Source organism: Homo sapiens, chromosome 5 (genome assembly GCF_000001405.40).
Source record: "Homo sapiens chromosome 5, GRCh38.p14 Primary Assembly".
NCBI classification, from domain to species: domain Eukaryota; kingdom Metazoa; phylum Chordata; class Mammalia; order Primates; family Hominidae; genus Homo; species Homo sapiens.
Genome location: NC_000005.10, coordinates 53,711,620 through 53,726,723, shown reverse-complemented (window position 1 = coordinate 53,726,723; position 15,104 = coordinate 53,711,620). Strand labels below are relative to the sequence as shown.

Below are 15,104 nucleotides of genomic sequence, written 5' to 3'. Positions count from 1 at the left end.
TTATATCTCACATTAAGGTTTAAAAAATTACTAAAATAGAAATATTAGGTTAAATTTATGTGTGTCTGCTAATGCCTGGCCACATGGTAGACAGTCAAATAATATTTAATGAATGATGTAAATTTTCATGAAAAAGAAAGTGCCCAACATTTATTAAGCATCTATCAAGTGCTTATTTATTCAATGTCATTTGACGAAGACACTAAGGCTCAGATTGGTCAAGTACAGATGGCACATCTGAGATTTGATCTAAGGGTTGTCTTGCTTTAGAATGCCATGTTTTTGGCTCTTTTCCAAAGGGGAAATTAAATCTAATAAACTTAACTTTTTACTGTATTTACTTATTTAGTTTAGACTTTTCTTGGCTCAAACAACCCTCACTTTGTCACGGTGAGGTCAAAATGGGCATGTGGCCATTCTAAGAACTATTCAAAAGAACAGACAGCATGAGGCTTCATTTTGATGAAAAGATTGGCTTTGTAAACTTGCACAATTTACTCCTTGTTCCACAACTTTATTTATTTTATTTAAAACACAGACAGAGTTTCGCTATATTGGCCAGGCTAGTCTCAAACTCCTGGCCTCAAGCGATCCTTTTGCCTCAGCCTCCCTAAGTGCTGGGATTATAGGCATGAGCTACCATGCCTGGCCACCATAGCTTTAATTATAGCTATTTAAAATCCTTCTGAAAAGTAATGCTTCATGTAAATGCTGATAAGTATGATACTACCAAACAAACTTGACAGAGATTAGCAGCCTGAAGAGTGATGTGGTTCTGGAACATTTTTTATGGTTTTATTTTCCCACATTTTGGATTATCTGAATGGATCCTAAATGTAATCAAAAGTGTCCTTATAAGAGGGAAGCAGACGGAAATTTGACCTGAGAAGGGACAGGTGATGAGAAGACTGAAACAAGATGCTACTGGTTTTGAAAATAGAGGAAGGGGCTACAAGCCAAAGAAATGACGCTCTAGAAGCTGAAAAAGACAGAAAGTGGATTCTCCCCTAGGGCCTCTGGAGGAAATGAAGGTCTCTCAACACTTTGGTTTTGGCCAGTGAAAGATTCTGGACTTGCGACCTCTAAAACTGTAGAATGTTGTTTTAAGGCACCGAGTTTGTGGTAATTTGTTACAGCAATGACAAGAAACTGATACAAAGACTAAACGACCTTTATACTTCCTATCAGGACTACATTGTCTTTATGAAGTTACGTCTAATTTTGCTCATTTCTGACATTCTAGTAATCTTGACTCTAAAAACAGTAGGGGTGAAAACTGTAGTTGGTGCAAAAGTAATTACGGTTTCAGCCTGTGAATTTTAAATCATAAATAGGTTCAAACACATCTTTATTAACCAAAACAGGAATCATTACAATGAACACATTTTTTCCAAAGAGAAATAAGTTTGTTTATTCCTGTAGGGTAAAAATCCATGCTTTGGGATTCAACGAACCCTTGGGAAGCATTTTCTGCTTCCTGCTGGTTGTGGAAGCATTTTCGCTGCAAAAAGTTGTCGAGGTGCTTGAAGAAGTGGTAGTCGGTTGGCGAGAGGTCAGGTGAATATGACAGATGAGGCAAAACTTCGTAGCCCAATTCATTAAACTGTTGAAGCATTGGTTGTGCAACGTGCAGTCAGGTGGTGTTGTGGAGAAGAATTGGGCCCTATCTGTTGGCAAATGGCAACTGCAGGCATTGTGGGTTTTGGTGCATCTCATTGATTTGCTGAGCATATTTCTCAGTTGTAATGCTTTTGCCAGAATTCAGAAAGCTGTAGTGGATTAGACTGGCAGCAGACTACCAAACAGTGACCATGACCTTTTTCTCGTGCAGTTTTGGCTTTGGGAAGGGCTTTGGAGCTTCTTCTTGGTCTAACCACTGAGCTGGTTGGTCATCACTGGTTATTGTATAAAATCCACTTTTTGTTGTACATCATAATTCGATTGATACATGGTTCATTGTTACTGCATAGAATGAGAGATGACACTTCAAAATGATGATTTTTTAAAATTTTTGCTCAGCTCATGAGACACCCACTTATCAAGCTTTTTCACCTTTCCAATTTGCTTCAAATTACAAATGACCATAGAATGGTTGGTGTTGAGTTTTAAGGCAACTTCTTGTGTAGTTGTAAGAGGATCAGCTTCAAAGATTCTCTCAATTGGTTGTTGTCAACTTCCGATGGCCAGCCACTATGCTTCTCATCTTCAAGGCTCTCATCTCCTTTGCAAAACTTCTTGAACCGCCACTACATTGTATGTTCAGTAACAGTTCCTGGGCCAAATGCTTTACTGATGTTGCGAGTTGTCTCCACTGTTTTACGACACATTTTGAACTCAAATGAGAAAATTGCTCAAATTTGCTTTTTGTCTAACAGCATTTCCATAGTCTAAAATAAATATAAGATAAACAGCAAGTAATAAGTCATTAGCAAAAAAAATAAAGTGAGAAACATGCGTTAAAATGATGTATAACATAACCACAGTTATGTAAGAATGAATTCGAATATCAAATAGCAAATTTCAACAGTGCAAAAACTGCAATTGCTTTTGTACTAACCTAATATCTTTTCCTTGCCCATCATAAGGGTCATGACTGATACCCCATAAAAAAAGACAGATTAACAAGAGAAATACATAACTTTATTTAACAGTGTTTTACGGGGAGTAGGAGACTTCAGAAATGAAGACTCAAAGACCCAGGGAAAACTGTGTACTTTTATGCTAAGCCCCATGAAAGAAGTAGACATTTGTGGAGAAATATGATTGGAAAAAGGGGTATGATCTAATGGTAATAACTTTGGGGAACATAAAAAGGTTCTTTGTTAAGATTCTTCTTCGCCTCTCTCTGCAGTACTCTTTTCCTTTGGGCACATGGCAGGACAAAAGGGTCTCACTTTTAGGGAAGGTAGGTCAGAAAGTGACCTTTTTAGATTTCATGGCTTGCTTTAGGGGTAAGGATTTTTAGTTTCTATGACCACTTCAGGGAAGAGTTCTGGTTTTTATGATATGCCTTGGGGGAGAAAGGAGGATGTAAGGGAGATTAGAGAGACCTTGTTTCTGATGCCCTTCCAATCTTTTTCAGTTGAAAGAACTCAGCACGTGCCAAGGCACCCATACTCAGGGTGTCATTCTCTGACCATTGGCAGCACCTATCAATCTATAAAGAAGCATGTAGCCTTGAGCCTAAATGCAAGTCTTTTCATTAAAAAAAATCCTTTATTGGCTTTCTCTATTCCTTATTTATCACATCTTCCTCTTTCTTTACCAGAAATATTTTCCCTCAAGAGACTGTACTTGGCCTCTCTTCTCTTCCTCTTAGTCTTGCCTCTATTGTCCCGTTTACTGCCATAGCTTTAATTTTTACAGTATAGCCAATGCTCTTGGTCAGTTTGTTAGGCTTCAAACCCACACTTCCTGTTGTCTGCTATGCATCTTCAGCTGGATAGCTCATTGGCATTTTGTATTCAATAAAACTAGAAATGAATTCATCTTCTCATGCACTGATTTATAAATGGAAAACCAAGTCACACCAGAAAACAAATGCTTCATCAAATAAGATATGTTAAGAATTTTGTTTTGTTTTGTTTTACACAATAATGGAAAACTCCAAAAGTATCATCTTATTCTTTTGTTTTTGTAGACGTTAATTTTGAGTAATATTTCTTCCAACATTTCTTCACTTTGCCTTGCTCCACATGGGCCATCCTAGTCATGGAATGGAAAATCTGACTTTAGATCACTCTGCATATAAATTCTAACAATATGATCTTCTCAACCAAGTAACCAATTAATTCAAGTAACTTGAGACAGAGTACTCTGACTTTATCTCCTCTATAATTTTTATTCTGAAGACAAAAAGAATCAAGTAAAAACATCTTGAACTTTACCTGTAGTTTGTTGCTGGTGGTATTAGAGAGGTAATTTAAAAAAAGAATCTATGGTTCGATAGTAACTAACAAAAACAATGATGGCAACAACAAAAACCTAGTGAGTCCAGCCAGTAACTGTAGAAGAAATGATAGCATAGAAAATGACCATCTTACAACCATCAGTAATACGTAATTCAGGCAAGGATAATCAAAAGATGTTAAAACAATTTGGTGAAATTTTGTGGGGAATCAGGATTCATGCAATATCAAAGCATCAACCCTTAGATTACATAACGTATGATGGAGAAATCTGGTATGTACCACTTTAACTGAGTGATCAAACTTAACATCAGGAATAATTACTGCCTTTATGTACCTCCAGAAGGGACTCTTTGAGAAAAACATATTACATATATAATATTCTTACCAAAAATGCTTAACTTTAATCTAATTATGAGGAAACAACCAGAGGAACCTAAATCACAGAACATTCTATAAAATGACTAACCTTGGATTTCTTAAAAATTCTGAATATCATGAAAGAAACAAAAAAGCAGGTGAACTGTTCAAGATTAGAGGAGAATAAACCCAATGTATGATTACGGATTGGATCCTGTATTTTTAAAAATTGGTATATAGTATCAGGGAAAACTGGGGAAATCTGTCAATTCCCCCTCCCCATCTGTCTGTTTTATTTTATTTTATTTTATTTTATTTATTTTTCTTTAAGTTCTGGGATACATGTGCAGAATGTGCAGGCTTGTCACATAGGTATACACGTGCCATGGTGGTTTGCTGCACCTATCAACCCATCATCTAGGTTTTAAGCCTGCGTGCATTAGGTATTTGTCCTAATGCTCTTCCTCCCCTTGCCTCCCACCCCCCCAACAGACCCTAGTGTGTCATGTTCCTCTCCCTGTGTCCATGTGTTCTCATTGTTCAGCTCCCACTTATGAGTGAGAACATGCAGTGTTTGGTTTTCTGTTCCTGTATTAGTTTGCTGAGAATGATGGCTTCCAGCTTAATCCATGTCCCTGCAAAGGACATGAACTCATTCTTTCTTATGGCTGCATAGTATTCCACAGTGTACATGTGTCACATTTTCTTTATCCTGTCTATCATTGGTGGGCATTTGGGTTGGTTCCAAGTCTTTGCTATTGTAAATAGTGTCACAATAAACATACATGTACATGTGTCTTTATAGTAGAATGATTTATAATCCTTTGGGTATATACCCAGTAATAGGATTGCTGGGTCAAATGGTATTTCTGGTTCTAGGTCCTTGAGGAATGGCCACATTGTCTTCCACAATGGTTGAACTAATTTACACTCCCACCAACCGTGTAAAAGCGTTCCTATTTCTCCACAGCCTCTCCAGCATCTGTTGTTTCCTGACTTTTTAATAATCACCATTCTAACTGGTGTGAGATGGTATCTCATTGTGGTTTTGATTTGCATTTCTCTAATGACAGTGTTGATAAAGTTTTTTTTTATATGTTTGTTGGCCACATACATGTCTTCTTTTGAGAAGTGTCTGTTCATATCCTTCACCCACTTTTTGATGGTTTTTTTTTTTTTTTTTTTACTGTAAGTGTGTTTAAGTTTCTTCTAGATTCTGGATATTAGACCTTTGTCAGATGGGTAGATTGCAAACATTTTCTCCCGTTCTGTGGGTTGCCTGTTCACTCTGATGATAGTTTCTTTTGCTGTACAGAAGCTCTGTAGGTTTAATTAGATCCCATTTGTCAATTTTGGTTTTTGTTGCAATGGATTTTGGTGTTTTAGTCATGAAGTCTTTGCCCATACCTACGTCCTGAATGGCATTGGCTAGGTTTTCTTCTAGAGTTTTTATGGTTTTGGGTTTTGGGTTTTACATTTAAGTCTTTAATTCATCTTGAGTTAATTTTTGTCTAAGGGATAAGGAAGGGGTTCAGTTTCAGTTTTCTGCATATGGCTAGCCAGTTTTTGCAGCATCATTTATTAAATAGGGAATCCTTTCCCCATTGCTTGTTTCTGTCAGGTTTGTCAAAGATCAGATGGTTGTAGATTTGTGACATTATTTTTGAGGTCTCTGTTCTGTTCTATCATCCTATGTATCTGTTTTGGAACCAGTACCATGCTGTTTTGGTTACTGTAGCCTTGTAGTATAGTTTGAAGTCAGGTAGCGTGATGCCTCCAGCTTTATTTTTTTTGCTTAGGATTGTCTTGGGTATATGGGCTCTTTTTTGGTCCATATGAACTTTAAGGCAATTTTTTCTAATTCTACAAAGAAAGTCAATGGTGGCTTGATGGGAATAGCATTGAATCTACAGATTACTTTGGGCAGTATGGCAATTTTCACAATATTGATTCTTCCTATCCATGAACATGGAATTTTTTTTTTACATTTGTTTGCATATTCTCTTATTTCCTTGAGCAGTGGTTTGTAGTTCTCCTTGAAGAGGTCCTTCACATCCCTTGTAAGTTGGATTCCTAGGTATTTATTCTCTTTGTACCAATTGTGAATAGGGGTTCACTCATGATTTGGCTGTCTGCTTGTCTATTGTTGGTGTATAGGAATGCTGGTGATTTTTGCACATTGATTTCGTATCCTGAGACTTTGCTGAAGTTGCTTATCAGCTTAAGGAGTTTTTGGGCTGAGATTATGGGATTTTCTAAATATACAATAATGTCATCTGAAAACAGACAATTTGACTTCCTCTCTTCCTATTTGAATACCTTTTATTTCTTTCTCTTGCCTGATTGCCCTGGCCAGAACTTCCAACACTATGTTGAATAGGAGTGGTGAGAGAGGGCATCCTTGTCTTGTGCCGGTTTTCAAAGGGAATGCATCCAGTTTTTGCCCATTCAGTGTGATACTGGCTATGGGTTTGTCATAAATAGCTCTTATTATTTTGAGATATGTTCCATCAACACCTAGTGTATTTTAACATGAAGGGATGTTGAATTTTATCAAAGGTCATTTCTGCAACTATTGAGATAATCGTGTGGTTTTTGTCATTGATTCTGTTTATGTGATGGACTATGTTTATTGATTTGCATATGTTGAACCCAGCTTTGCATCCCAGGGATGAAGCCGACTTGATTGTGGTAGATAAGCTTTTTGATGTACCACTGGATTCAGTTTGTCAGTATTGAGGATTTTCGCATTGATGTTCATCAGGGATATTGGTTTGAAATTTTTTTTTGTTGTATCTCTGCCAGGTTTTGATACCAGGATGATGCTGGCCTCATAAAATAAGTTAAGGAGGAGTCCCTCTTTTTCTATTGTTTGGAATAGTTCCAGAAGGAAAGGTACCAGCTCCTCTTTGTATCTCGGGTACAATTCGGCGTGAATCTGTCTGATCCTGGGCTTTTTTTGGTTGGTGGGCTATTACTACCTCAATGTCAGAAATTGTTATTGGTCTATTCAGGGGTTCGACTTCTTCCTGGTTTAGTCTTGGGAGGGTGTACATGTCCAGGAATTTATCCATTTCTTCTAGATTTTCTAGCTTATTTGTGTAGAGGTGTTTATAGTATTCGCTGATGGTTATTTGTATTTCTGTGGAATCAGTGGTGATATCCCCTTCATCGTTTTGTATTGTGTCTATTTGATTCTTCTCTCTTTTCTTCTTTATTAGTCTAGCTAGTGGTCTATCTATTTTGTTAATTTTTTTCAAAATACCAGCACCTGGATTCAATTATTTTTTGAAGGGTTTTTTGTGTCTCTCTCTCCTTCAGTTCTGCTCTGATCTTAGCTATTTCTTGTCTTCTGCTAGCTTTTGAATGTGTTTGCTCTTGCCTCTCTAGTTCTTTTAATTGTGATGTTAGGGTGTCTATTTCAGATCTTTCCAGCTTTCTGATGTGGGCATTTAGTGCTATCAGTTTCCCTCTTAACTCTGCTTTAGCTATGTCCCAGAGATTCTGGTATATTGTCTCTTTGTTCTCATTGGTTTCAAAGAAGTTCTTTATTTCTGCCTTAAGTTTGTTATTTACCCAGGAGTCATTCAGGAGCAGGTTGATCAATTTCCATGTAGTTGTGTGGTTTTGAGTGAGTTTCTAATCCTAAGTTCTAATTTGATTGCACTGTGATGTGAGAGACTGTTTGTTATGATTTCCATTCTTTTACATTTGCTGAGCGTTTTACTTCCAATTATGTGGTCAATTTTAGAATAAGTACCATGTGGCACTGAGAAGAATGTATATTCTGTTGATGTGGGGTAGAGAGTGCTGTAGATGTCTATTAGGTCTACTTGACCCAAAGCTGAGTTCATGTACTGAATATCCTTGCTAATTTTTTGTCCTGTTGATTTGTCTAATATTGACAATGGGGTGTTAAAGTCTCCCACTATTATTGTGTGGGAGTCTTAAGTCTCTTTGTAGGTCTCTAAGAACTTGCTTTATGAATCTGGGTGCTTCTGTATTGGGTCCATTTATATTTAGGATAGTTAGCTTTTCTTGTTGCACTGATCCCTTTACCATCATGTAATGCCCTTCTTTGTGTTTTTTTTTATCTTTGTTGGCTTAAAGTCTGTTTTATCAGAGACTAGGATTGCAACCCCTGCTTTTTTTTCCTTTTCATTTGCTTGGTAAATATTCCCTTATGCCTTTATTTTGAGCCTTTGTGTCTCTCTGCCTGTGAGGTGGGTCTCCTGAACATAGCACACCAATGGGTTTTGACTCTTTATCCAGCTTGGCAGTCTGTGTCTTTTAATTGGGGTATTTAGCCCATTTGCATTTAAGGTTAATATTGTTATGTGTGTATGTGTGAGTTTGATCCTGTCATCATGATGCTATCTGGTTATTTTGCAAACTTATTTATGTGGTTGCTTCATAGTGTCGATGGTCTTTACAATTTGGTATGTTTTTGCAGTGGCTGGTACTGATTGTTCCTTTCCATGTTTAGTGCTTCCTTTGGGAGCTCTTGTAAGGCAGGCCTGATGGTGACAGAATCCCTCAGAATTTGCTTGTTTGTAAAGGGTTTTATTTCTCCTTCACTTATGAAGCTTAGTTTGGCTGGATATGAAATTCTGGGTTGATAATTCTTTTCTTTAAGAATGTTGAATATTGGCCCCCACTCTCTTCTGGCTTGTAGGGTTTCTGCTGAGAGGTCTGCTGTTAATCTGATGGGCTTCCCTTTGTAGGTAACCTGACCTTTCTCTCTGGTTGCCCTTAACAATTTTTCCTTTGTGTCAATCTTGGAGAATCTGATGCTTATGTTTCCTGGGGTTTGGAGTATCTTAGTGGTGTTCTCTATATTTCCTGAATTTGAATGTCAGCCTGTATTGCTAGGTTGGGGTAGTTCTCCTGGATAATATCCTGAAGTGTGTTTTCCAACTTGGTTCCATTCTCCCTGTCACTCTCAGGTACACCAATCAATTGTAAGTTTGGTCTTTTTACATAGTCTCACATTTCTTGGAGGCTTTGTTTGTTCCCTTTCATTCTTCTCCAATCTTGTCTTTATGCCTTATTTCAGCAAGTTGATCTTTAATCTTCGATACTTTTGTTCCGCTTGATCAATTCAGCTATTGATACTTGTGTATGCTTCACAAAGTTCTTGTGCTGTGATTTTCACCTCCATCAGTTCATTTATGTTCCTCTGTAAACTCTAGTTATTCTAGTTAGCAGTTCCCGTAACCTTTTGTCAAGGTTCTTAGCTTTCTTGCCTTGGGTTAGAAGATGCTCCTTTAGCTCACAGGAGTTTGTTATTACCTGCCTTCTGAAGCCTACTTCTGTCAATTCATCAATCTCATCTCTGTCCAGTTTTGTGCCCTTGCTGGAGAGGAGTTGCCATCATTTGGAAGAGAAGAGGCATTCTGGTTTTTGGAATTTTGAGTGTTTTTACGCTGGTTTTTCCTCATCTTCATGGATATATCTATCTTTGATCTTTGAGGTTGGTGACCTTTGGATGGGGTTTCTGTGTGGGTTTTTTGGTTGTTGTTGTGTTCTGTTAGTTTGTTTTTTTTCTAACAGTCAGGTTCCTCTTCTGCATGTCTGCTGCATTTTGCTGGAGGTTCACTCCAGACCGTGTTCACCTGGGTATCACCAGTGGAGGATGCAGAATAGCAAAGATTGCTGCCTGCTCCTTCCTCTGGAAGCTTCGTCCCAGAAGCCTGATGCCAGCTGGAGCTCTCTTGTATGAGGTTTCTGTCGATCCCTGTTGGGAGGTGTCTCCCAGTGAGGAGGCATGGGGGTCAGGGACCCACTTGAGGAGGCAGTCTGTCCCTTTGTAGAGCTGGTGCACTTTGCTGGGAGAATCGCCCTTGTAAGGATCAGCTGCTCTCTTCAGAGCTGGCAGGCAGAAAAGATTAAGTCCGCTGAAGCTGCGCCCACAGACGGCCCTCCCCACAGGTGCTCTGTCCCATGAAGATGACAGTTTTATCTGTAAGCCTCTGACTGGGGCTGCTCCATTTTCTTCAGAGATGCCCTGCCCGGTGAGGAGCAATCGAGAGAAGCAGTCTGGCCACAGCCGCTTTGCCACACTGTGGTAAATTCTGCCCAGTCCTAACCTCCTAGTCTCCTTAGCACTGTCAGGGGAAAACCACCTACTAAAGCCTCAGTAATGGTGGATGCCCCTCCCCACTCCAAGCTGCATCATCCCACGTCAACTCCAGACTTCTGTGCTGGCAGTGAGAATTTCAAGCCAGTGGTTCTTAGCTTGCTGGGCTCCATGGGAGTGGGACCCGCTGAGTGAGACCACTTGGCTCCCTGGCTTCAGCCTCCTATCCAGGGGAGTGAATGGTTCTGTCTTGCCAGGGTTCCAGGCACCACTGGGGTATGAAAAAAAAAAATCTCCTGCAGTTTGGTGCCTGCTCAGCCACCCAGTTTTGTGCTTGAAACCCGGGGCCCTGGTGGTGTAGGCTCATGAGGGAATCTACTGATCTGCAGATTGCAAAAACCATTAGAAAAGCATAGTACCCAGGCTGGGTAGCACAGTCCCTCACAGCTTCCGTTGGCTGGGGGAGGGAGGTCCCTTGCACTTCCTACGTGAAGTGACGCCCCATCTTGCTTCTGTTCACTCTCTGTGGGTTGCACCCACTGCCTATCCAGTCCCACTGAGATGAACTGGGTACCTCAGTTGGAAATGCAGAAATCACCCACCTTCTGAGTTGGTCTCGCTGGGAGCTGCAAACCGGAGCTGTTTCTATTCAGCCACCTTGGCCCCTCCCCTCCCATCCATTTAAAAAAACTGTGACAATTGCTATTGTAGTTAATAAAGAATAATGTCTTTTTTTTTTTCCTGAAGAGATCCACTCCGAACTATATTTAGAAATGAAATCATGATGTCTACCTCACTTTTATTTTAATTCATTTATTTAATTTTTAAAAATAATTTCAACTTTTATTTTAGATCCAGAGGGTACATGTGCAGGTTTATGGTACATTGCATAATGCTGAGGGTTGGGGTACAAATGATCCCACCACTTAGATAGTGAGCATAGTACCCAATAGGTAGTTTTTCAGACCCTTTCCTCTCTTTCCCACAGCTCCAGTAGTCTCTAGTCTATTTTTCCTATCTTTATTTTTCTATAGTCTAGTCTATTTTTCCTATCTTTTATTTTTCTATAGTCTCTAGTCTATTTTTCCTATCTTTATGTCCATGTGTACCCAGTGTTTAATTCTCACAAGTGAGAACATGTGGCATTTGGTTTTTTGTTCCTGCATTAATTTGCTTAGGATAATGGCCTCTAGCTGCATCCATGTTGCTGTAAAGGACGTGATTACATTCTTTTATATGGTTGTATAGTATTCCATGGTATATATGTACCACATTTTCTTTATCAGATCCACTGTTGATAGGCACCTAGGTTGATTCCGTGTCTTTGCTATTGGGAATAGTGCTGCAATGAACATATGAGTGCATGTGTCTTTTTGACAGAGTGATTTAGTTTCCTTTGGATATATACCCAGTAATAAAATTGCTGGGTCCAGTGGTAGTTCTGTTTTAGGCTCTTTGAGAAATCTCCAAACTGCTTTCCACAATGGCTAACATACTTTAGATTCTCACCAGCAGTGTATAAGCATTCCCTGTTCTTTGCAGCCTTGGGAGCACCCATCTATCTTTCTGACTGGTGTGAGATAGCATCTCATTGTGGTTTTTATTTGTATTTCTCTGATGATCAGTGATGTCAAGCATTTTCTCATATGTTTGTTGGCTACTTATATGTCTTTGAGAAGTGTCTGCTCATGTCCTTTGCCTACTTTTTAATGGGTTTTTTTTTTTTTTTTTGCTTGTAAATTTAAGTTCTGGATATTTGACCTTTGTCAGACCATAGCTTATGAATATTTTCTCTCATTTTGTAGGTTGTCTGTTTACTCTGTTGATAGCTTCTTTTGCTATGCAGAAGCTCTTTGGTATAATTAGGTTTCATTTGTCAATATTTGTTTTTGTTGCAATTACTTTTGAGGACTTAGTCATGAATTCTTTGCCCAGGCTTATTTCCAGAATGTTATTTCCTAGTTTTTCTTCTAGAATAAGTATACTTTGAGGTTTTACATTTAAATCTTCCCAACACTGCGAATTTTGTATATGATTAAAGGTAGGGGTCCAGTTTCATTTTGCTGCATATGGCTAGCCAGCTAATCCAGCACCAGTTATTGAACAGTGACTCATTTCCCCATTGCTTATTTTTGTCAACTTTGTTGAAGATCAGATGGTTTAAAGTGTGTGGCTTTATTTCTGGGTTCTCTATTCTGTTCCATTAGTCTGTGTTTGTTTTTGTACCAGTACCATGCTGTTTTGGTTACTGTAGCTTTATAGTTTGAAGATGAGTAATGTGATCCTCTGCCTTTGTTCTTTTGGCTTAGGCTTGCTTTGGCTATTTGGGCTCTTTTTTCGTTCAATCTGAATTTTAGAATAGTTTTTTTTTTTCTAATTCTGCGAATAGTGGCATTGATAGATTGATAGAAATAGCATTAAATTTGTAGATTGCTTTGGGCAACATAACCATTTAAATGATACTAATTCTTTCAAACCATGAGTATGAAATGTTTTTCCATTTGTTTGTGTCATCTGTGATTTCTTTCTGCAGTGTTTTGTAGTTATCCTTGTAGAGATCTTTCACCTCCTTGTATACCTTACCTTTAAACAAGAGAGAGTGCGTGAGAGTGTGTGTTTTCCAATGCACAAATGGAGAGGGAAGGCAGGGAGGTGAAAACATGTGATAAAATGTTTACTAGTAAACTTAAGTGATAAATGAATGTTCATTTACAACATTTTAATAATTTTTATGATAAAATTGAGGGAAACTGTAGTTTAAAAAATATCTTAAAATGCCATCAGTAACCTTTAGTAGGAGAAAGTCTATTGATATAATACATTATTATTACCAAGTGCCATCGTTGGCATACTTTGTTCACAATATCAGCTTTGTGTACTTCTTACAATAATAAAATCTCCTGGATTAATTTTTCTTAAATGCCTTGACAACTGGAGACAAGGAAGCTTCTTACCAGTTGTAGTAGTCCCAAAATTGCCATAAATCTCAGCATTCAGTTTCCTTAGCCTAGATCCACACCTAACTGGAGTTGAAAGAACAGATGTAATCATTTCTATATTTATGGGTAATCAATTAAACCACAAATCAATCTGCCCCCATGATTCAATCACTTCCCATGAGACCCCTCTTCCAACACTGGGAGTTACAATTTGACAGATTTTGGTGGGAACACAGAGCCAAAGGATAGCAACACATATTTTAAAGAAACAATTTTAACTTTTTTGGGTGGGTGGGCCAAGATGGTTGATTAGACGCAGCTGCAGTCTGCAGCTCTCACAAAGTGAAATAAAAACAGCAAGTGAATTATGCACCTTCAACTGAGGAATCCAGGTTCTTGCATTGGGACTGACTAGGTGGACAGCTCAACCCATGGAGAGCAAGGAAAAGCAGGGTGGGGAGATATCCCATCTGGGAGAGGCACAGAGCCAGGGGAGCCCACATTCCCAGCCAAGGGAGGTGATGACTGACTGTGCGACCCCACCTGGGAAAGCATGCTTTTCCCATGGATCTTTGCAATCCATAGATCAGGAGATCCCCTTGTGAGCCCACCCCTCCAGGGCCTCTGGTCCAAAGCACAGAGTGTGTGGTCTTGGCGAAGTGGCTGCTTGGGCACACACAGAGACCCAGGAGCTTTGCATACTCTGGTCTTGGGAATTCTGGCAAGGTGGGAGATCCATTTCCTAGGAAGGGGGCTGAATCCAGGGAGCCAAGTGGTGTCATTATGCAGGCCTCACTCCCATGGCACCTCACAAGTTAAGACCCACTGGCTTGGAATTCCAGCTGGCCAGCAGCAGCAGGCTGGAGACTGCCTGAGGCGGATCTCTGCGGTTTGAGTTGGCAGTTCTTGCCGGCTGGCTGTGGGGAGTCCAAGTGGTCCAGACTGGGAGGAGTTCCCCACAACATAGTACCGCTACTGTGCCAGATCATGGCAAAACTGCTTCCTCAAGTGGGTGGGACTCCAACCCATCCCTCCTTACCAGGCAGGGCCTCCCTGTGGGAATTTTAGCAACTCCAGCCAGAGTTACATGGATGGAACTCTGATCTCTCCCTGGGACAGAGCCCCTGCAAGGAGGGGCAGCCACTATCACTACAGTTCAGTTGACTTAGTCTTTCCAGCCTGCACTCTGGAGAACCTGGGGGGTCTGGATGAGGCAGGGATCCCCCCCAGAGCATCTGTTCTGCCAAGGGGCAGCCAGACTGCTTTTTAAAGCAGGTCCCTGATCCCGTTACTCCTGACTGGGTGAGACCTCCCAACAGGAGTCTCCAGATACCTTCTACAGGAGTGTTCAGGCTGGCATTGGGCTGTTGCCTTACTGGGGTGGAGCTGCCAGAGGAAGGAGCAAACTGCCATCTTTGCTGTTTTGCAGCCTTCGCTGGTGCACAACTCCAGGTGTGGGAGGAACTGAGGCAACAATAAGCTGGAGTGGATCCCCAGCAAACAACAGCAGCCCTATGGAAAAGTGGCCTGACTGTTAAAAGGGGGGAAAACAACAACATCAACAAAAAGAGACCTCATTAAAACCCCATTCAAAGGTTAGCAACCTCAAATATCGAAAGTAGGTAAGCCCACAAAGATGAGAAAGAATCAAAGCAAAACCCCTGAAAACTAAGAAAGCCAGAGTGCCTCTTCTCCTCCAAGTGACCACAGCACCTCTCCAGCAAGGGCACAGAACTGGGTTGAGGCTGAGATGGTTGAATTGGCAGGAGTAGGATTCAGAAGGTGGGTAATAACAAATTTCACTGAGCCAAAGGAGAA

The 15,104-nt window shown here is 39.9% G+C and overlaps 1 long non-coding RNA gene across 1 annotated transcript, besides 1 other annotated feature; it reads right to left on the bottom strand.

Moving 5' to 3' along the window:
* Positions 1-1,317: 1,317 nt before the first annotated feature.
* Positions 1,318-13,816, bottom strand: LOC124900975 (uncharacterized). Its single transcript, XR_007058768.1, has 2 exons — positions 13,302-13,816; positions 1,318-2,387 (listed from the first exon to the last, which is right to left on the bottom strand). It is a non-coding gene; the product is annotated as an uncharacterized LOC124900975 (long non-coding RNA).
* Positions 14,092-14,593: an enhancer, noted in NCBI's record as "H3K4me1 hESC enhancer chr5:53007961-53008462 (GRCh37/hg19 assembly coordinates)". NCBI's record gives its function as "activates a minimal SCP1, AML or CMV promoter by ChIP-STARR-seq in naive and primed H9 embryonic stem cells {active_cell/tissue: H9 hESC(naive and primed)}" and the evidence as "EXISTENCE:reporter gene assay evidence [ECO:0000049][PMID:30033119]".